At 41.1% G+C, this 22,339-nt stretch overlaps 1 long non-coding RNA gene across 16 annotated transcripts in view, besides 2 other annotated features; it reads right to left on the reverse strand.

Annotated features, from left to right (window-relative positions):
* TNPO1-DT (TNPO1 divergent transcript) overlaps positions 1 to 22,339 on the reverse strand; it is a 245,434-nt gene that overhangs the window by 131,952 nt on the left and 91,143 nt on the right. The window lies entirely within an intron of this gene.
* Positions 5,738 to 6,239: an enhancer, noted in NCBI's record as "H3K4me1 hESC enhancer chr5:72004631-72005132 (GRCh37/hg19 assembly coordinates)". NCBI's record gives its function as "activates a minimal SCP1, AML or CMV promoter by ChIP-STARR-seq in naive H9 embryonic stem cells {active_cell/tissue: H9 hESC(naive)}" and the evidence as "EXISTENCE:reporter gene assay evidence [ECO:0000049][PMID:30033119]".
* Positions 6,240 to 6,739: an enhancer, noted in NCBI's record as "H3K4me1 hESC enhancer chr5:72005133-72005632 (GRCh37/hg19 assembly coordinates)". NCBI's record gives its function as "activates a minimal SCP1, AML or CMV promoter by ChIP-STARR-seq in naive H9 embryonic stem cells {active_cell/tissue: H9 hESC(naive)}" and the evidence as "EXISTENCE:reporter gene assay evidence [ECO:0000049][PMID:30033119]".

A 22,339-nucleotide genomic window follows, 5' to 3' on the forward strand; every position in this document is an offset into this window, starting at 1 on the left:
AACCTGAGCATACCCAGATGAACCAAGCATGCAGCGATGAGCAGAACATAAGTGCTTGGACCAAGAAACAGGGGCCAAATTAAGATGCAGAAGGCAAATGGCAGGATCAAGGATTCAATCAGATCAAGCCCTGGTGTCACCCCATTGTAGAAGCCAGTCAAATTAGACCTCCCAGCATCACCTCATTGCAAGATCCAATCACATCATGCCTCATTATCCTCTGACTATAAAATCTGCCCTGAACCCCAGCTCCAGATTTGAGTCAGGCACTGATCTCTTTGCTCAACAGCCTTGCCACAAACTTTTCTCTGTACAAAAACCTAGCGCTTCAGTGTTTGGCTTTCAATTGTGTACTGGCAAATGGACCCAGTTCAGTTCAGTGACAGTAAGAGTTTTTAGTTTCAGGTTTTACATTTAGGTCCGTGATCCCTTTTGAGTTAATTTTTGTGTATAATATCAGGGGTTCTTTCATATCCCATTGTAACACCACCATTTTTTGAAATGAGTATCTTTCCTCCTTGAATTGTCTCTGCTATTTAGTCAAAATCAGGTTGACCCCATATGTGTAGTTCTATTTCTGGACTCTATATTCTGTTCTGCTGATCTATTTGTCTATTTTTATGCCAGTACCATACTGACCTTGATTACTATAAGACTAAAATCTTATAAGGTAGTGTTAGCCTTCTACTTTCTCCTTTCTAAAGTTCTTTGGCTGTTTGCATTTTCATATAACTTTTAGAATCAGCTTATCAATTTCTACATAAAATTTTCTGGAATTTAGATTGATAGATTGCATTGAATCTATCAATCAATTTGGAGACAATTGAAATTTCTAAAATACTGAGTCTCTGATCCATGAAGACATTATCTCTCTCTGTTTGTTTAGGTCTTCTTTAATCCCTCTCACCAATATTTTATAGTTTTCAGCGCACAGGTCTTGCACATCTTTTGTCAGATTTATCCCTAAATATTTCATGATTTTCATGATTTTAATTCTATTATAAATAATATTATTTTAAAATTTTAATTCCACATTATTTGTTGCTAGTAAATATAAATGCAATTTTAATTGTATATTGATCTTGTATCCTGCAAACTTGCTAACTTACTTATTCATTCTAGTGACTTTTTTGTAGAGTCCATAAAATTGTCCACATAGATGATCTATGAATAAAAACTAATTTACTACTTCTGTTCTAATCTAGACGCTTTTTATTTTTTTTCTTGCTTTACTGAATGGACTACAACCTCCAGTTCAATAGAAGTATGATAACAGATAACCTTGTTTTGTTTCTATCTCAGGAAGAAAGCATTTTAAGTATGATGTTAGTTTTGTTTTTCATAAATGTCCTTAATCAAAATGAGGATGTTTCTCTTCTATTCCTAGTTTGCTAAGATTATTTTTTTAATCAGGAATGGTTATTAGACTTTGTCAAATGCTCTTTCTGCATCTTTTGAGATGATCATATGATTATTATTTTTAAATTTGTTTTAATATGGTGAATTATTTTCATTAATTTTCAAATGTTAAACCAATCTTGCATTCCTGGGATAAACCTCTCTTGGTAATGATACATATTCTTTTTATATATTGTAGGGTTTGATTTTCTATATTTCATGAAGAATATTGGTTTTGTCAAGAGTTGAACTGAGTTGGAGAGTGCTTAGCTTCTGGATGTCAGAGTAGCCATTAAGACAAACCAAGATGAAAATAACATTGAAGCCTTGAATCCAAGCTTGTCCAATCCATGGCCCACAGGCTGTGTGTGGCCCAGGATGGCTTTGAATATGGCCCAACAAAACTTGTAAACTTTCTTAAAACATGATGACATTTTCTTGCTTTTTTTTTTTTTTAGCTCATCAGCTGTCATTAGTGTCAGTGTATTTTATGTGTGGTCCAAGACAATTCTTCTTCCAATGTGGCCCAGGGAAGCCAAAAGATTAGACACCCCTAACTGAATCACTTACTGCAATAGTATAAGCCAGAGGCCAAACAGGAGAAAGTGCTGGTTCCCTCAATGTCCCCTTTTTGCCCTATAGAATGACATCCAGTTGGGGTCAGATGTCTCAGCATAGACTGAGGGACATTGTCTCACGGTCAAGGGCTCGCCATATAAAAGGCTCCTACCATTCTATGGGACCCAGAGGGTGGGGAGGGAGGGTAAAGGGGAAGGACCAGAGTAGAAAAGTACTGAGTACTGAGTCAGAGTGGAGAAAAGTGTCTTCAAATCCTCCCCAACTCCACTTTCCAATGAGGAGGGAGGTCTTGGCAGCGATGTCCCAACCAAAGGCCTCTCCAAGTGGCTAGCCAAGGGGCCTGAGTCCTGGACTGCAACTCCCTTCAGAAACTTCAGTGCAAGTCTGGTGTTGGCAGGGCAGCTTTCCCCATGAGACCTGCTAGATAAAACCTTTGTAATTACCTTGGTCAGGCCTAAAAGATCATACATAGAATTTTGGCCAGAGCCAGGCTCCAGATTTGTGATTTTTTTTTCCTTGTAATGTTTTTGTCAGGTTTTGGTATCAATGCAATTCTAGTTTCATGAAATGAGCTGGAAAGTACTTTCTCCTTTCCAATTTTCTGGAAGAGTTTGTGAAAATTCGTATTGTTTCTTTCTTAAATGTTTGGTAGGATTTACCATTGAAGTTATCTGGTACTGAATTTTTCTTTGCGGGATGTTTTTCACTACAAACTCAAACTTTGTAGATATAGGGATATTTAGGTTATCTATTTCTTCTTGAATGAGCTTTAGTAATTTGTATCTTTCAAGGAATTTGTCCATTTCATCTATATTGTTGAATTTATTGGCAAGAAGTTGTTCATGGTATTCCCTTATTATCCTTTTAATATCCCTGTAATCTGTAGTGACGCCACCTCTCAATCCTAATCAGTCTGGCTAGAGGTTTATCCATTTTATTGACCTTTCAATAAGCTTTTGGTTTCATTAACTTTTTTCTATTATTTTTGTCTTCTGTGTCATTCAATGGTGCTCTGATAATTATTGTTTCCTTATTCTGCCTATCTGTATTTTATTTGCTCTTCTTTTACAGCTTTCTTAAGGTGGAAGCTAAGGTCATTGATTTGAGAACTTTTTTCTGTTCTAACACAGTTATATAGCACTGTATTTTTTTCTCTAAGTCCTGCTTAAGCTGTATGCCACAAATTTTGATATGTTATATTTTCATTTCCTTCAGTTCAAAATACTTTCTAATTTCTCTATTAATTTCTTCTTGGACTCACAGTGTATTTAGAAATGTTTCTTTATCTTCCAAATGTTTGGGGATTTTACAGATATCTTTCAGTTGCTTTCTAATTTCAGTCACTTGTGGTCAAAGAGCATAATGTGTGTGACTTGAATTATTTTAAACGTATTGAGATTTGTTATGTGGTCTAAAATATGCCCTGCCTTGGTGAATGTTCTGTGTACACTTGAAAGAATGTGTATTTTGCTGTCATGAAGTGGAATGTTCTAGAAATATCAAAAAGGTCAAGTTGGTTGATAGTATTAGTTAAGTCTTCTATATTCTTACTGAATTTTAGTCTACTTATTCTAGCAATTTTTGAGATATGACTGTTGAACCTGTCAATTATAGTTTCTGCTGATATGCCTTCAAGTTTCCTAGTCTTTTCTTCTGTAATGTCTAATCTGCCACTAACACAATTTAGTGTGCTTTTGGTCTTATTGTTGCTTTAATCTCTAGAAGTTCAATTTGGGTCTTTTAAAAATATCTTTCATATCTCTACTTAACATGTTCAACCTTTCCTTTAGCTTCTTGAACAGATATAGTTATTGCTGTTTTAATGTCTTTGTCTAGCATTTCTAACATTTGTGTCAGTTTGGGGTCAGTTTCTACTGACAGATTTTTTTTTTCTTTTTACCTAATTGCAGGTTGTATTTCATATTTATCACAATCTGGGACATGGTTAAGTTACTTGGAAACTTCAAGTCTTGCTTTCAGGCTTTGTCAGGCAGGACCAGAGTAGCATTTAGGATACAGCTAATTTTGCTGTGCTACTGAGAGAAAATACTTCTTAATATTTCACTGGATACCCTGTGAATTATGACATTTTCCACCACCGCTGGTGGGAGCAGGCACTATTCCCTGTGCCATGTGAGCCCGAGAGGTTGCTCCCTCTAATCATTCTGAGTGGTTATTCCCAGAGCCCAGTTGGGTTTTACATATGCATGAGCTGATCAGTACTCAGCTGAATGCTTGAGGGGACCCTATGCATGTCTCTTGAGTTCTCTGTGCATCTCTCTTTCTCTGGTACTCTGTCCTTGAACTCTAACCACTTGGCTTAACTTACCTGGACTTCCAGCTCCAGCCCCTAGACTCAGGGAGGTTGCCAAGCTCTGTTCTGGATTTTCTCCCTGTCCCACAGCCTAGACACTGTCTCAAGACAGTAAGCTGGGGCAACTGTAGGGTTCGCCTTGCTTGTTTACCGTCTCTCAAAGGTCACTGTTGTGCCGATCTGATGTCCAATATCCTGAGAACCATTGTTTCATATACTTTGTCCTATTTTTTACTTATTTCAGGCAAGAGAGCAAATCTAATCATTATTACTTCATCATGACCAGAAGCAAAGGTCCAAAATTTGTCAAATATTTTAATGTCAGCAAAATAGTTTGTTTTTTTAGTATAAATGTATTTTTAAAATCTACACTGCACTCAAGTCTACTTATTTTTCAATTTTGGCAGATAAAACCAGGTTTTCATATAAGCTGTTGTTCATCATGAGACTGTCCAGCTGTAAATACTAGGAAATAATGGACTCTGAACTAAGAGTTGTATAGGTCTAGATACACATTTTCAAGGAGCAATAACAAGAGATCAATAAACAATTAACTTTTTTGAGGAGTCGACATTTTAGATGTTACCAAACTGTTGAACTTTGAATGTCTTCACTAGAGTGGCATCTAACAAAAACTAAGGAAACCTCTGCATGTGGGCACACACCCCTTTAGGGAGCCTTTCTTGGCTTAATTCATTGACTCAGTACAATTTATTGAGCTCCTATTGTCACAGGGTCCTTAGGGTGTCGCTTCACCAACTGGAAATCTCTGTGGCCAGCAGTGCCTCTACTTGGGTTTTGCTTGTGCCCGCTGGCTCATTCTGCCCACTCAGTCCAGCACCTGCACTCAGCTTGCGCTACTGGCCCAGATCCCATACCTGCCAAGGGGGAGCCAGCTGCAGAGCAGTGAGAGGTGTGTGAGTGAGTGAGTGCAGGGTCTGGCCACTGTGTACAGCCAGGTGTACCAGCTATAGCAGGGCAGGCAGCTCTAGCTGCCAGCACAGGTGCTGGCTCCATGTAAAGCTACAGCTGGACCAGACATACTGCAAGCAGCTTCCGCTGTGGGCACCAGCATCTGGACATGGAGAACGCAATGGTGCCAGAAAACTCAAAGACACCAGGAACTGCAGAGCCCCAAAGAGGGTGTTACAGCATGCCACGGCCCTGGCTTGGGGAGCTCCAAGTTCTAGGCTCCCAGAAAGGTGGCAGCTCTTCTCTCCTTCTCATCACCTGCAAGGTGGTGAATAGGGAGCATGTTTCAGCCCTGTTTGTGTTACAGCTCTTTCAATCTCACCTTTCAGTGGGTCCCAAGTTCTTGTCCCTCATCCAAGAAGAATGAGGTATACAGATAACTGGAGGGTGAGCAAGGCAGCGAGAACTTTACTGAGTAACAGAACAGCTTGCGGGAGACCTGAAGTGAGTGGCTCCTTTCTGCAGACAGGTTGTCCAGCTCTCAACGGAGAGGAGACCTGCAGTGGGTAGGTCCTTTCAGCAGGCAGGTAATCCCAATGAGTGTGCAAGTCTGACTGAGTCTGGGATTTTTATGGGCTCAGAAGGGAGGAAGTGCATATTGAATGGACCATAGGTGGCCATGGGCAGGCCTGGAAAATGCACCATAAGTTCTCGTCCTGGGTCACGGACCCCACCTGGAACTGGCAGCCTGGCCCCAAGGCTGCAGGTCATCCCTGGCTCGAAGGTGGATCTTCACCAGGGACCCACCCCTTCCCTCCTAGAAATCTGTCTGCCTCCTGCAACTATCAACATGCTCTCCATGGTGCCCAGACTGCTTGCACCAAGGGGCACCTACAGGCCTGCACCAAACTGCCCTCAGCAGCCCCCAGCCTCCCTCCCTGAGCTCACTGGTGCCCAAAGTTTCAGAGGGGGCTGAGGCAGTGTGAGGGCTGGTTGCAACAATGCCTGGGCTTGGCTTCAACTTTGCTCTGAAATTGGAGCGGGCACCAGGAGCAGGGAGAGGCCAGGGAGCAGGAGTGGGCACTTCTGAGCCTGTGGAGAAGGAGAGCTTCCTGGGCTCCCTAGAGTGCAGGGATGCCTGGATCTGGAGCCATGGCTGGGCAGCTGCAGCCCTGCCCAGGATCACAGGGCTCCCATCCCACCAACTCAGTAGGGGGCAAGGCTGCTGCCTGTTCCCAGGCCCTGCCAGCTCCATGGAGTGTACAGCCCCAACTATGCCTCCCCTGCTGCAGTTGGCATTCCCACAGCAGCTGCTCCAGATGGGCCACTGCCACCATCACTACTTACGTGTCAGTGACTATTCAAGGTCCTAGAGATAGAGCAGGAAATAAGACAAGGATCTCAATCTTCATGGAACTTTATTTTACCCACAATAAGAAAACATTCAACAGCTCTGTTAAGGAAAAATAGATCAGAGTAAAAGAGTAAAGAACGTCTGTAGATAATATTTTAAATGGAGCTATCATGGACAGCCTCTATAAGAAGGTTACATTGGATTTAAGAGAAATGAGAAAGGAAGCCATGCAAAATTCAGCGAAGAGTATTCGGCGAAAGGAAATAGAAAGTACAAATACCCTGTGGCAGAAATGAGTTGGGTTTATTTTAACATTCTTTTTTAATAAAAATGTAAATTCTTTCCAATGAGTACAAGCCAAGGTTTAATTTAATATTCTGATAGAAATATAATCTAAAATCAACAGTAACTACACTACTTAATGTTGTTTACCTACATGCATTCATTCATATTTTCATTCATATCATAAACTACATATTAAGCACCCTGCTGTGTATGGAAATGCAAAGATGTGTTGCCCCAAAAAAATCCTCACATTCGGTGGCAGTGAGCTGAGATCGCAGCTTTGCATTCCAGCCTGGGCAACAAGAGAGAAACTCTATCTCAAAAACAAAAACAAAAACAAAAAAAACCCTCACATCCACAACTTAGTAGGAGAGGTTTTAAGACATGTATAATAAGCAATGATTGTAACAGTGGGGATAATGGGTCTTCCAGTTTAAGACCCCAAAGGAAATATTAATTCTGACAGGTCAGACTGTCTTGCTCACATCTGAATGGCCCCCTGGGCCCTATGTAGGTGAAAGGTAAGAAAGTGTGCTTAGGCATGAAAGAGATGAGGGGGCAACATGATTTGTGTAAAGTTGAGAAGTAGCAGTTGAAAGAGAAGAGCAATTTTTCACAGATCAAAGAGCATGCCCTTCTGCCCTGCCCCTCTGTGTTCATGCCCAAGTTCTTAGGAAGAAGAGATACATAAAAAGGTAAAAAGGTATTTACTGCTGACATCTCTTTAAGAAACCAGAGCATCAGGCTGTGATTCTTGGAGAAGTAGTTTACACTGGGTCCTCCTTCACTGAAGTGACTACTGCCACTTTAACAGGGAATAGAAATGGGGAGAGAGATGAAGCAGCCAGAGCCACCATGAACAGAGACCCAGACCCACATCCACCAAGGCCAAGAGTCAGAGCAGACCCAATGTGCCACACACGGGAAAGGAGGAAAGGCTGTTGTTGCCAGGAGGGCTGTGCTTATTAGCACACAGGAACATCCCTGGGGACTCCCTAAATGAGTACCTGAATATGTCCTAATGCAAATACGTGACTCTGGAACTATATATCCGGTGGTTATGATCTTAGACCAGCTGCTCACTAGCTGTATTATCTCAGGAAATTATTAAACTTCTCTGAACCTTTTTATATATATATATATATTTTAAGTAGGGGTAACAATAACACTGTGAGGTGTTAGGATTTTTGTGAGGTTTAAAGAGCATGTGGTAAATGCTTAAACAATAATAGCTAATTTTAAATGCAATTACCATTATTAATGTTATTATTATGAAGGAATTTTAGGAGATCTGGAATTCCCAAAAGTTGGTGAATAGCAATAAAAGAAATACTGCTTAGAAAATGTTATTAGGATCCAATTCTACCCTGAAGCTGTTATGCCCTGGGAAGCATGGGGTAACATTAAAACTAAGTACGTGGCTTTGGACAATTTATTTAAGCTCCTTCAGCCTCAGTTTCTTCATCTGCACAACAGAGTCTTAGTGACATTTGCCCTTGTCCCTCACAGGGTTGTTACCAGGTTCTTTCCAACAATGGGCATGGAAGGAGCTTTGCAAAGAGCTGTTCCATATCACTGATGCCCAGCTGTCATTACTGTCACCAGCTCTGCCGTATGCAGCTCTGGGGTCTCAGAAATCTCATTTTGGGGCTATTTTTAGGTCTATAAGATGCAGCTGCTCAGAGTCAATTGCTATACTAGTAGAATATTCTATGAACCACCTGTTAAGGCTGCCCCATGCAGAAGCCCTGGGACTAATCATCCCCTAGCTCCTGACTCGTGCAGCTCAAGAGACCAAAGGTAAATGTCTTTTTCCCACTGTTTCACTGTATTTACTTCCTGTTGCCTGACTACCTGCCTCCAGCATCAGTAATAGCCTCTGAGCCCTTGAGTATATTTATTTTCCATCTGCTCCCTCCCTTCTTGCAATAACAGTAATACACCCCTAAAGATCCAGGTCCTGGAAATTATGGCCCAGAAAAGCATTCAAAACAGTGGAAGTATAATTTTTTCCCTCAAATTCTCACACACTGAATAATGTAGTGATAACGCTCAGAACACAGCAAAGCACAATTTAAACCGGTGGGCTCCCTTGTCTTGTATGTACGATGGTACATACATATGAGAGGTGACCATTGTCCATGTTTCTTCTGGTCCAGAGGTAAGAAATAATCTGAGACTCCCTTAAGAAGTATGTACCTCCCAATAACTGCCCCTAATGGGATGCACCAACTGCAGTGGGCACATGAAAGCATTTTCACTTCCTTCTCAGCCCATCTCTACAGATCTCCATGAAGCAGACTCCTCTCATCAAGCTTCAGCCCAAAGATATCTCTAGAGAGAGAGAAATGAAAATGCCTAAATACACTCTGAGGCTTGGAATGAAAGAGGCAATACTGATTCTAAGAAGGAATTTAAATCCAGCTAAGAGATAAAAAGATGTGGACCTTAAATAAAATTAAAATTTAGAGTTTATAAGAGAAGAGAAATTTGAAGAAGAATAAAAAATGCAAAAAGGGAGAATGTGAAACATTAGAGATTTGAAATATGGGAGGAGGCATGACAAGCCAAAAGAAATTTATGTTTATATAGTTTGAAGGAAACACTAAAAGTAATGGTGCAATTATCTGGGGGTAGAAAAAAAATACAAGAAGGAAAAAACAGGATGATAGCATTCATGGCCAGAGGTGCTGAGAACAGTAGAATTTGGAATGGAATATAGATGGACAGGGAGGGCAGATTCATAAGAAGTTCTTTTCAATCATTCATGATATTGAAAGAAACATGAGACAACCATTCCCCAAGAAAGGACAGGCTTAACTTTCAAGAGGAGGGATTTAGGATAGACATTAGAAAATAGCCTGGGTATAAGCATTGTGGGGAAAATGTGGAAATCCCATCTTTGAAGATATTAAGAAATAAGGGTAACTACTATCTTTTAGTAGTGGCTTAAGGGCAAACCTGGATACCTCGGATACCTGAGCTTTCACAAATGCATCCATCCATACGCAGCTATGATTCTGTGTTGAATTTTCTCGAATCCAATTCCCTCTTCACCACAGTATAATACACAGAGATTTTCTTAGAAGTCTTTGTTATTTACTGGGCTTACCTGTCCTGAATCAGCATCTTTAATGTATTGCATCTCCCTGATCAGTATCCCGAGATCCCCTTAAAAATGTTTTACTTAGCTTTTCAGGGGCATGATTCTGTCATTTCTCTAGTCAGCACTGTCTGGCACATAGATAGTACTTGATAAACTGTCCCTGGACTATTTTCCATTCTGAGAAGTGAAGAAAACCACTACAATAAAATAAAGCAAGGGTCAAGGAAGCCTCACCAATGTCAAAGAAAAACAGATTGTTTTCTGTCTCTTCCACAGAAAGCCGGTTGATAAGAGTCCTTGAGTTTCACCCATGTGACGGTTTTTATGTGTCAGTTTGACTGGGCTAAAGGATGCCCAGAAGACTGGTGAGACATTAGTTCTGGGTGTGTCTGTGAGGGTGTTTCCAAAAGAGATTAATGTTTGAATCCATGGGCTGAATAAAGAAGATCCACCCTCACCAATGCATGTAGGCACCATCCAATCTGTTGAGGGCCCAAATTGAACAAAAAGGAGGAGGAAGGGTGAATTCACTCCCTCTGTTTGAGCTGAACATCCATCTTCTCCTGTCCTTGGACATCAAAGCTCCTGATTCTAGGCTCTTCAGAGCTCAGAGCTTACACTAGCAGCTCCCTCCCTACCCACTTTCCCCTCTTCATCCCCTGCCCCCAATTCTCAGACCCTTGGACTCCCACTGGGAGTTATACCATCTGCTCCCCTAGTTCTCAGGCCTTTGGATCTGTACTAAGTTACAACACCAGCTCTCCTGGTTCTCCAGCTTGCAGACACCAGCTTACAGAACTTCCCAGCCTCCAAAATGGCATGAGCCAATTCCTATAACAAATCTCTCTTTTCCTTCCCCCCATCTCTCTCTATAGATAGATATATACAAATTTATAAAATAAATTTGTTCTCTGCCAATATTTAGAAGGGAGAACTGACATATTAGGGTACTGATTGTCTGACTCAGATTCAACTTTATTCCACTCTTGAACACTCCAATCTGGAGTGCCTAAAGTCACCCAGAGAAGATTCTTTGGGTCCTAGAAGGTGAGTGAGTGCTACTCAATAAAGATTGACACAGAGCTCCAGACCTCAGACCAGGCAGCACCCTGGTTTTCCAAATGCCAGTCAATCACATGTCATCTCCAAGATTTTGTCATATCTGCATATCATCCATTCATATCACCATTAATTACTTAATATTCGCCTCTACATTGTCTGTAAGTAAATCATCCTGGGTTTTTGTTTATACTTGTCCTAAGTCATAACATGTGAGAAATTATAACTTGAGGATGTGATGTTCACTTATACCTTAAATTAATAATACAACTTTAAAAATAAAAATATGTATGAATGAGCCACCTACTATTTCCCCAGTGATAGGAAACCCCAGTGATTCTGCCCAGGGTTACATTTCAAGTTACAGTCCAGCCATTCTCAATCTTTTTTTCTTTCCACCGAGACATACATAGATGGCATTGCCATGGCCAGCACAATCCCATGTGAGTGTCTGAACTTCTGGGCAACTTCTTGCGGAAAACCTGGAGCCCTACCCTATTTTTTTCTTATTCGAGGAAGTATATCAGAATACAAGTGAGTGAACATAATTATAGGGATAACCATGAAACCACTAATTTGTGGAAAATAATATCTTTCTCACATTGCTGCTGAGAGGCCAAAATGAAACAATGAAGCATTTAGCAGGGCGCTTAGCACATAGTAGGCACTCAATAATTTGTTCCTCTTTGTTTACATGAATTACTCAACAACTTCAGTGATTTTTGCTCAGTTAAAAAAAAATTGATGTGATCTCATTACCAAAGGTTACTGTGTCTGCAGACCATGGCCATTCCTTACACCAGCAGGAGCTGCTCCAAGAAGAAGGTGGTCATCTCCCCTAAGGAACACTTTCTCCTGGTCTCCAGGAAATTATTTTTCTATTAATTCAGGGCATCATGAGTCCATATTTATTTTTTATTTACTTCACAGCTAAGAAAATTGAGATCCGCATAATATCTTTTCCTTCCAGAACCTTATCTTATTACTCTAAGTAGAAGAATTACCTTGGTTCTAACAGGCTAGTGGATTCTATAGAAATCAACTATTTCGGAAAAATATGAGTTTATGTTGGCTACTTAGGAAAGATAAAAGAGTTATCCCGTTTTCCATAAGAAATAGGAAATAGAAATAAAAGAAATAAGAATAAGAAATAGGAAAAGGTAAATATACTGACAGGGATAACCATGAAACCACTAATTTAAGGGAAAAAATACCTTCCTCACATTGCTGATGAGGGCCAAAATGAAACAATGAAGCATTTAGCAAGGTGTAATATATGAAATAGGAAAATAAATAGGAAAAATACATGTTTATTGAAAAAATATTCTTTAAAAGGCACTGTGATAAGAGCAGTGGAGGAATACAAAAACATTCTTTTTATCAAGTCACTTACAGTCTAGTAGAAAAGACAAAACATGTATAATATGAAGCAAAATTAGGTAAATGTCATAACATTTAGCTTCTAACATTTTGTCATGAAAATACTTCCAGAGCTTTAGGTTGCTCATTCCTGTTCCCGGGTTTCTGAACCCATTTGGAATCTTTATTGACTACTCCAAAGTATGTATGGTTAAGTAATATTGGACCAGTTAAATTTTGTCATGGCACAAGACATCTTCAGACATAAAGCCGACACATCTCACATCTCATTGCTTCCTGTGGCAGATCTAACACCTGAGGATGTCTGAGGGTCTGGATGCACAGCAGACCCAGCTCAGCCATGGAGTCACTTCACCATGGAGGGGACTAACAATTACAAAAGGTGGAGGTTGCTTGCATGCTAGAGAATCAGTAATAACCTCAACTCTTGATTAAGTATTTTAAAAACTTCTGTAGTAAGAGCTATTCCACAAAAATATTTTTACAGTATTATAAACATTGCTAAATATAGCTCTCTTAAGTCATGTGACATCTTTTCTCTAAGTTTGCTCCTGATATTGTTATATTGGGTTTTAACTTCAGGAGCATTTTGTGAAATACTTACATCATAGGTGAGAAAGTAGACAAACAGCCAAGGGGAAAAAAGAAAACTTTGAACCGAGCCCAAGAGAAAACGTTTAAATATTTGAATATAGTGGTATTCAAGGTTCCTTCTGAAGGGGTGGAGGAGAGTGAAATAAAATAAGGTGACTTCTAGAGACAATACCTATGTCCTTTGGGAGTAGCTCAGTGTATCAGAAAACACAGGCTCCAAAGATGGGCAGAATGAACTTCCAATTCCAGTCCTATCACTGACTTATGATCTTGAGCACATTCCTTCACCTCTATCTGTGATCCTTTCTTCCCTCACTGGAGCACAGCGCTCATAAAACCTACTTCATGGAGCTATTACGAGGATTAAATGAGATTACACATATAAAGCACCTGCACAACAGCATTCACAAATACTTGTTCCCTGCAGTTCCCTGCAATGTGAAAGACTGAGATGTGGCCTGCCAACTGCTCTGGGAGGGCCCTATTCATTCATTCAGAATTACTTTTTGAACACCAGTAGGTATAAGTAATTGTGCTAGCACTAGGAATATAATAATGACTAAGACCCTCAGGAGCTCCCATTTCCTATCATTCTAGGAATTTTAGGCCCTGTCTTCCATTAGAGAATTTCCTAAAGATGGAGAAAGCACTGATAGAGAATGGGTATGCACAAAGACATGCAGCTTAAACTTCAGTGGCAGATCCAGAATTTGAGCTCCTCTCCATAATCTGTTTTTACCTCTCAGTGCATTAAAATCCTACTTAAGTGAAGAGAGAAAAGGTAGAGAAATGCAAGTGTTAAGTGAGTGATTTAGGTTGTTAGGAGTACGATCTGTAGTGGAGGTGAGGAGCCAGAGGAAAGGCCCACGCAGAAAAAAGAAGCCAATTTTGACTACTTCCACAGTCCTTTTTATAATAGTTTTTTCTCTTTTTGTTGAAATTGCAGTTGATTTGGATGGCAAGATGGTAGAACAAATCATGAAGTGACAGGTAGGAGAAGAAGAGCATTTTGGAAAAGAAATAGTTCATGAGTCTCTGAGACATGTAAGTCAGTATTTCCCTAAGTACTGGGGTGCACATCAAAGATTCTTACACGAATGAAGGACCTGCAGAACCCCAAAGAGACTCTCTAACAAATACTACTAAGTCCCCTGAAAACCACCAACTGCACTAAGGCTGCAGAGTTAGGTATGTGCTTTGATTCCAGCAGTACAATGCAGTGTAAAGAAACCTAGATCTGCTAATTTTGTATTTTTTGTAGAGACGGGGTTTCTCCATGTCGATCAGGTTGGTCTCGAACTCCTGACCTCAGGTGATCCCCCGCCCCACCTTGGCTTCCCAAAGTGCTAGGATTACAAGCGTGAGCCGAGAGTGGTGGCCCATGCCTGTAATCCCATCTACTCAGGAGGCTGAGGCAGGAGAATCACTTGAACCCAGGAAGCAGAGGTTGCGGTGAGCTGAGATCACACCATTGCACTCCAGCCTGGGCAACAAGAGCGAAACCCCGTCTCAAAAAAACAAAAACAAAAACAAAAAAACCTAGTTCTAGGCTCAGTTTAACATATTTCTGGGGTATGCATCTTTGAAGTAAGTAGCTTAATTTCTCTGAATTTCACCTGTAAAGCAGTAGGGCTAGCCTGCTCATATCAAAGGATTAGTAAGGAAATGGAAGGAAACTGTGTTTTAAAAATTCTTTGTTTTGTATGGCCTTGACTTCTTCAAGGTGATGAGATTCTCAATAGTGAAGATAAAATGCCCAGAAGCCAAGAGATTTCTTGAACCAGCTCTGTTGGAAGCACCATTCAGAGAAGAACCACAGTGTTATTTTAGAGTCCTCAATTATATCATAACTTGCCTTATCTGTATAGCTGGAAAAAAATAAGCACGTCTAAGGTGTTCTATTGGCCCAAGACTCTTGGTTACAATATTCTGTGGATCCTAGACAGATCCATGTAAGCAGATGTCCCCTAAACCCTTTCTTGTGAAAAAATAATACATTTTTATACAAGAGAGAGGAGATGGGGCCTCATCAGGGAAACTGACAAGGCCTACTCCAGGATATAGTATTATTCTTTCAGTTGATCAACTCTTGACATTTTGGAAGGCAGAAAGTACTCTGCAGATGTTAATCATAAATGATGATTTCGGGAAACAATAGACCAGAGAGATTATGTCCCCAGATGGCAGCCTCCAGCACACTCTGAAATGAATTGCCTCACTCAGTCTAGCATTCCTCTAAGAGGTCTCTAGCAGCACAGCCTTGCCCAGAGAGACTAGAGAGACTGGGAAACCAAGAGAAAGACTGTACTACATTGAAATAAAACTTATTTAAAATAAAACTCAGCAACAAGAACATTGGGAACTAGCCTTGGTATGAATGTCTTCAGACTGAGCTCCTTAGAGAATTCTTTTCTTTCATCCGGCCCTGGAGGGACAGTGGATCTAGGTCTTTAGATATCACCAAATTCAATACTGGATTTTGTTATTTGAGTATAACCAAGGCAGGACTTTATTATATCACTTAGACTGGAAAATATTCCTGTGCACTTAAAGAAAACACTTGGCAGCCCCTGGTTTCTAGTTGGCTATTTTGCAATGGACATAATTTTCTTATTATGCTTATTAGCCTCTAATTTTATGATGTGTAATATATTCATCTTTCTGGTTTCTTTATGTGTAAGCCAGCTTAAAAGGGCATTGCAGGACAACTGAAGAAGATACACGCTTTTAAAACCGTATTAGGATATTCTCTTAGTGTAGGCTCCCTTCCTTAAATCCTTTCTTCCCAATTTAGAATCAATCATCCTTTCCCCCTAGATAAAGGTGTCGCTTTCCTTCCGACTCATCTAGAATGTAAACCTACATGACGGCTCTCAGAATCTTCTCTTTTGCTGAGAAAAGAAATGATTCCCCCTTTATACAGACCACAGCCTCAGGAATTCTACTGAACATAAAATGAGAAAAGCATACTCCTGAAGTTGCTTAAAATCAGATTTTTCATCCTAAATCCTGAAATCATATCTTCTCCATTGCCCCCAGTGCACTATTTTGGTTCATGAATCTTTCTTTTTTCTTTTTCCCTTGTAGTCTCGAGCATGAAGTTTTGGCCAGGGCACTGGAGACAGAGTTAGAAGATCTGGGTTCAAGTCATGATTCTGACACTTATTTGTTGGCAACAGCTAATTTACAGCTGTGAGGCGGAAGTACTCCCTGCTTGCCTGGACGCCTGTGGAGATGAACGAGACACAATGGTTACGTGCAGGGTGTCTGAGAGTAAGGAGCATGGGGCCTGCAACCAAGGTGCTTGGCTCTGAATCCTGGCTCTGCTACTAGCTATGTGATCTGAGGCCCGCTTAGTTTCCTCACCTGGGAACAGGAGATGCTAATGATAGTACCTGTATAATAGGGTTGTTGTGAGAACCGACTGATACCTGGAAAGTATGTAGAACAGTGCCTGACACATCATCGGTGCTCAGTACATGTTAGCATTTTATTAGAGGCTTCTTTCTTTTTGGTCTAAGTAGTAAATCAATCATCACACCTCACCAATTCTTTCAGAGATGATTCCTCCTTTTCATTCCCATTACCTCCAGTCCAGGCCTCTATTTTGCCCCTCCCAAGCCACTGAGCAATAGCATTGCTGGACTCTCTAACCTCATTTCTTCTATTCCCTCCTGCACCTGGCTCCAAATCGATCATCTCAAAACATCACTTTAAGCCAATTACATTCATGCTTCCAATTCTTGGTGATTCTCAAATACCTATAGAAGAATTGTAATACCTTAGACTACAATTGAGACATTATAAACTGAGCCCACCATACCTTTTTTTTTTTTTTCTGGGAATGAGTCTCGCTCTGTCGCCCAGGCTGGGGTGCAGTAGCGCAATCTCGACTCACTGCAAGCTCCGCCTCCCGGGTTCACGCCATTCTCCCGCCTCAGACTCCTTAGTAGCTGGGGACTACAGGCGCGCGCCACCACGCCCAACTAATTGTGTGGTTTTTGTTTGTTTGTTTGTTTGTATTTTTAGTAGAGACGGAGTTTCACCCTGTTAGCCAGGATGGTCTCTATCTCCTGACCTCGTGATCCATCCGCCTCGGCCTCCCAAAGTGCTGGGATTACAGGCATGAGCCACCGCGCCCAGCCCGACCATACCTTTTGAACCATCTCTCTCTCACACGTAATCTCTCTACTCTTAGCAAAATAATTTCCCCTTAGTTCTTGAATGTAGCTTGTGATTTCATGCCTCACTGTTTTTATTTATTCTTTTCTTCCTGCTTAGAACATCCTCCCTTTCCGGGCAGTGAATGGGAGGGAGTGTAGTATAGTGATTAAGAGCCCCAGCTTAGATGTCTGACAGGCCTCGTTTACCTTCTGGCTCCATAACTTGGCAGGCATGTGATCTTGGGCAACTTCAATGCCAATTCCGTGTGCTGAACAAGGACACTCTTAGCATAGTAAGAGAAAAATCCACTTACAGTGATAAAAGTATTGATTCAGAGGGCTTTAATTGCTTTTTAGTTCATTATGTTTTACTACAATAAGTGAATGAGAACCCAAAACAAAATTAGAATTTTCTTCTCTCTGTTGTCCTAGTACATTTTCCGTTTTCTACTAAAGATCTTCGGACTTCTCAGGAAACTCATCCAGGATTTGACAACCTTCAACTTAATCTCAAGGCTAATTCCTTTATTATGACATTCTTACTCTGCACAAAGCTACTCTAATCCCTCTCTCTCTCTCTCTCTCTCTCTCTCTCTCTCTCTCTCTCTCTCGTCACCTGAGAACAATGACCCAGCTTTCAGATTAGCAGGACACAAGTGACTTGGGTGTGGGAGATCTCTGCACTGGTGAGGTCAGGAACATTAGCCTTAGGAATGCAGTGAAAGACAGGGAAGTCAAAGAGAAATTACCTAGGCCAGAAAATTGTCAACAAGTCAGGAAAGGGGAGCATGGAACATTGTTTGTTGTTTTATTTCCAAACATAGAAATATAAGACAGGCAAAAGCTAAACTGGTCTCCCCAGCAAAGAGGACACCAGCCTGGCTCCTCCCTCCTCAGCCTTTCTCAGTTCTTCTAGATCTCTTTCTTGTCAAACACTGAAGGAACTTTTCAGATTGTTTCAATCTATAATGCACAGAAACAAGTTTACATCAAAGTCTACTTCTCTTCATGTCTCAGTGCTAGGAGTCTCATGATCAGAGAACATGTGTCGCCCTCTGAGGCCATTTTTCCACTCATCTGCCCTCCCATCTGCTCACCTCCTATCCTTCTTCTTTTCCCTCCCTCTTAACCCTTTCCTCTGTGTTTGAGAAAAAAATTAAAAAGCTCCCCAACACTTTCAAATATTTTGCTCTGTCTTAGCTCATTGGTTCTCCTGGCCCCTGCAGAATCTGATTTAGTTAGCCTGGGTCTAGCCCTGGCGTGGATGTTCTGTTGTTTTGGTTTTGTTTGTTTAACATCCCTAGGTGTTTCCAGGGTGTACCCAGTCTAAAGAACTATTGCCTTAACTGGTACCTAGATTATCTCCTGGCAAACATGCTTCCTGCGCCTCTCTCTGGAGATTCCACATCCTCCCATACCAGAGTACTGCCAGACAAGATGGGACCGTCAATCTCAGGCCCCACATTGCCTCTTCCAGACCGTGGGTCTCCCATCCGCATGCACAAAGGAAAACATTTCCTGAAAGTACTTTATTTGCGTGCCCCACACACCTTCTCCCCACCACCACCAACCTTATCTGCCTGAATAACATCTGTGTCCTTCAAAATGCAACTAAAACAGTAACTCCCCCTCTTAGAAGACTGCCCTGAGAGGCCAAGTGATCTACAAACCACTGTCTCTCGCTCTCTCCTTGCTTACGCCCTATGGATGCCTGGCATAGCCTTTATCTCTCTGTTTATAATAATCAGCTATTTCCATGTCTGCCTACCTCAATAAACTGTGAGTTCTTTAAGAGTGGGAATTATATCTTCTTCATCTCTGTATCTGCACAGTGTAACTCATGCAGTGCCTGGCACATGGTTGGCATCAGATAAATACTTGTGAAAAAGAGCAAGCAGGAGAGAAGAGATGGAGAAGGGAATGTGAGAAGAAGAGAAGTAAGAAAGAAAAGAATAAATATCTTGCTGTAATCCCAGTAGTTTGGGCAGCCAAGGCAGGTGGATCACTTGAGGTCAGGAGTTCAAGACCAGCCTGGCCAACATAGTGAAACCCCAATTCTACTAAAAACACAAAAATTAGCCGGGCGTGGTGGCAGTTGCCTGTAATCCCAGCTACTCGGGAGGCTGAAGCAGGAGAATTGCTTGAACCATGGAGGCAGAGGTTGCAGTGAGCCGAGATTGCACCACTGCACTCCAGCCTGGGTGGCAGAGCAAGACTCCGTCTCAAATAAAAAAAAAAAGAAGAAGAAGAAATACCTCACCTCTACTGTCATCATCCTGCCTTCCAAGGGTAAAATGTTTTACTAAGCATATTTTTGGAACTATAATGTAGAGACACAGCACAGAAAGTAAAAATCCAAGGCAACTCTCTCTATTTTTTAGAAGAAAAATAAGCAAGTGACAAGAAAACCCATATATATAGAAAGTATTTTTTAGAATATATTTCTGGTCACCTACTAAGGACAGTATTTTTCATCTCTCACTACTTTACCATCAGTGACCCAGATCTTCTATGACAATCCCATTCTGTTGATGGTGGCTGTGGTGGGCAAAATAAATCCCCACCCCCACCCCCACTGCCAAAAACATCCATGTCTCAAACCCTGGAACCTATGAATATGTTCCATTGCATGGCAAAAGGGACTTTGCAGATGTGATTAAACTAAAGACCTTAAGATAGGGAGATTATCCTGGAGATTATCAGGGTGGGCCCAATGTGATCACAAGGGTCCTTCTAAGTAAAAGAGGGAGGCAGGAGAGTCAGGGTCAGGATGATGCAATGTGTGAAAGACTCCACCTGCCACTGCTGGCTTGGAAGACGGAGGAAAAGCTCAAGAACGCAAGTGGCCTCTAGAAGCTGGAAAAGGCAAGAAAGCAGAATCTCCGCTGGAGCCTCCAGAAAGGAAAGCAACCCTGACCACATCTTGATTTTAGCCCAGTGAGAGGCCAGAATTGTAAGACAGTAGATCTGTGTTGTTTCAAGCTGCTAGATTTGTGGTGATTTGTTAAAGCAATAGAAAACTAATACTGTGGGTATAAAAATGTTCCTAGAGTACACTCATACCTGTCAGTGCATGCTTCTGCTTTGAGTTAATGTCACCTCTGCCACAGTTATATTATTGTGAGATAATCACGGGTAGTCTTGTTGATGACCTTGAATCATTACAAGATCCTGAGTCATCAATGAAAGAAAAAGCCGCTATAACTCCAATCCTTTACCTACTCAATCATGGAAAGGAGGATACAATATAGTCCATGTCCTATATAGACATAATATGATGGAGCACAAAACAAGAGCCTGGAAAAATGCATGAAACAGTTCTTGACTTTGGACTCCAGCCTGCCTTTTGAATAGGTTGGAGACCGAGGACCTCTGGTATACTAGTCATCAGTCCTTTCAATCTATTGTGTCTCCTGCTGAAGGACACCAGGCTTCATTCTAAAGCTGGGATCTTGGGATGGAGGCAGAGAGGAAGGGGAGAAGAGACAGAGGTTCTTACACTGTCCATTCTCAGGGTGTGAGAGATGCAAAGTAAACAGACTTGCTGCACTGCCTGGATTAATCATATTGTGGGCATCTCCTGCAGGCCATTATGCAAAAAGGTGTTTATCCTTTGTCCCAGTCTGTCTGGAGGAGGAGGAAGTGAGAAGGAAAAAAAAAAAACAGCCTATCAGTGGTGAACTCATACATATTTTAGAATAATTCATTGAATTTTAGAAGGAAATTTGAGTTAACCCTAAGTTAGCCATAACTTTTACAGAACCAGTATTCCTCATTTTCTGGACTTTCTGGTCATTCAGTATCTTAGCGGACAGCTTATTGTTTGGGCTTTAAAAATGCTTTTCTTTTAGCTACTGTAATACTTTGCATCCTTCCTTCTCCTCACTGAAGCACAGAACCAATTGAGAGAGTCAAAGGAGCCAGAAAGGTGGAGAAGAAAACATCAGCTTTATTACTGGTAAGCTATTTGGAGAACAGTCTTTAGGTGTGGAGCAACAATAAGCTTCTAATATAGCACCAAATCATTAAGCAGAAGGACCTACTCAGTCACGAGCAGCTGGCAAATAGTGACCCTTTCCCAGTGACAGAGCTCCCCACAGTCATATCCCAGGGAGAATCCTGAAGGGGCTGAGACCCGCGTGGCTGTCCGGTCTTCACCTCCCCATCAGTAAGTCATTTGTTCCAGGGAAGAGTAAGTGATGCAGGAAGAGAGGCCAGGATCGTTAGGCTTGTGGAAGCTCTTTAACATTGATATATTGAAGAAGAGGGAATCAATGTTCTCCACCTGATAGTTACTTCTAAATGGCAGCAAATAAAACTATGCTATAATTAAGCTAACTAAGTAATTATATATAGAGAAATTTGAAAGCAAAATTAGCAAGAGCTGACTAAAGATCCATCACTCCCAAGCACCCCTGGAAGCAGCAGCCTCCCTCTTAGTGTAATGAACAGTCTGAGGTGTGTTACTTACGATATGGTATGGCTATTTTCAAACGATGTCTGTTGTCTTTAGAATTCAGAGCTTTTTCAAAGTATCCCTATAGTAACATTATTCTTACCTCATTTCAGATTTACTTTCTTGAGTGGGAGAGAAAGGGGAGAAACTACAGATAACATTCCAGAAATTACACATAAGCCAGTCTACCTTGTCTGTGAAGAAGCTCCTAGTGAAGGACATTTAGTGACAGCATTAAGAGTTGTGGCAATTGTGAATAATTGAAATGTTCATACACTGTTTTTTGTTTTTATTTCTGAGACAGGGTCTCACTGTATTGCCCAGGCTGGAGTGCAGTGGCACAATCACAGCTCACCACAGCCTTGACTTCCCGGGCTCGGGTGATGCTCCCTTCTCAGCCTCTCAAGTAGCTGGGACTACAGGTGTACACCACCACTCTCCACTAATTTTCATATATTTTGTAGAGATGTGGTTTTGCTATGGTGCCCAGGCTGGCCTTGAAATCCTGGGCTCAAGCAATCCACCCCACTTAGCCTCTCAAGGTGCTGGGATTACAGGTGTGAACCATGGCACCAAGCCTATTATTTTTATAGTTACTTGTATGTCTTTTTCTTTTACTTAAGGATAAATTTGATTAAGAAAGCAAGTGAAATATGTTTTAAAAGCACATCTTCGAGTGACCTTACAAACATCTTTTGGTTAATAACAGAACTATAATATCAAGTAGATGATCAGTAGC

Source organism: Homo sapiens, chromosome 5 (assembly GCF_000001405.40).
Source record: "Homo sapiens chromosome 5, GRCh38.p14 Primary Assembly".
Taxonomy (NCBI): Eukaryota; Metazoa; Chordata; class Mammalia; order Primates; family Hominidae; genus Homo; species Homo sapiens.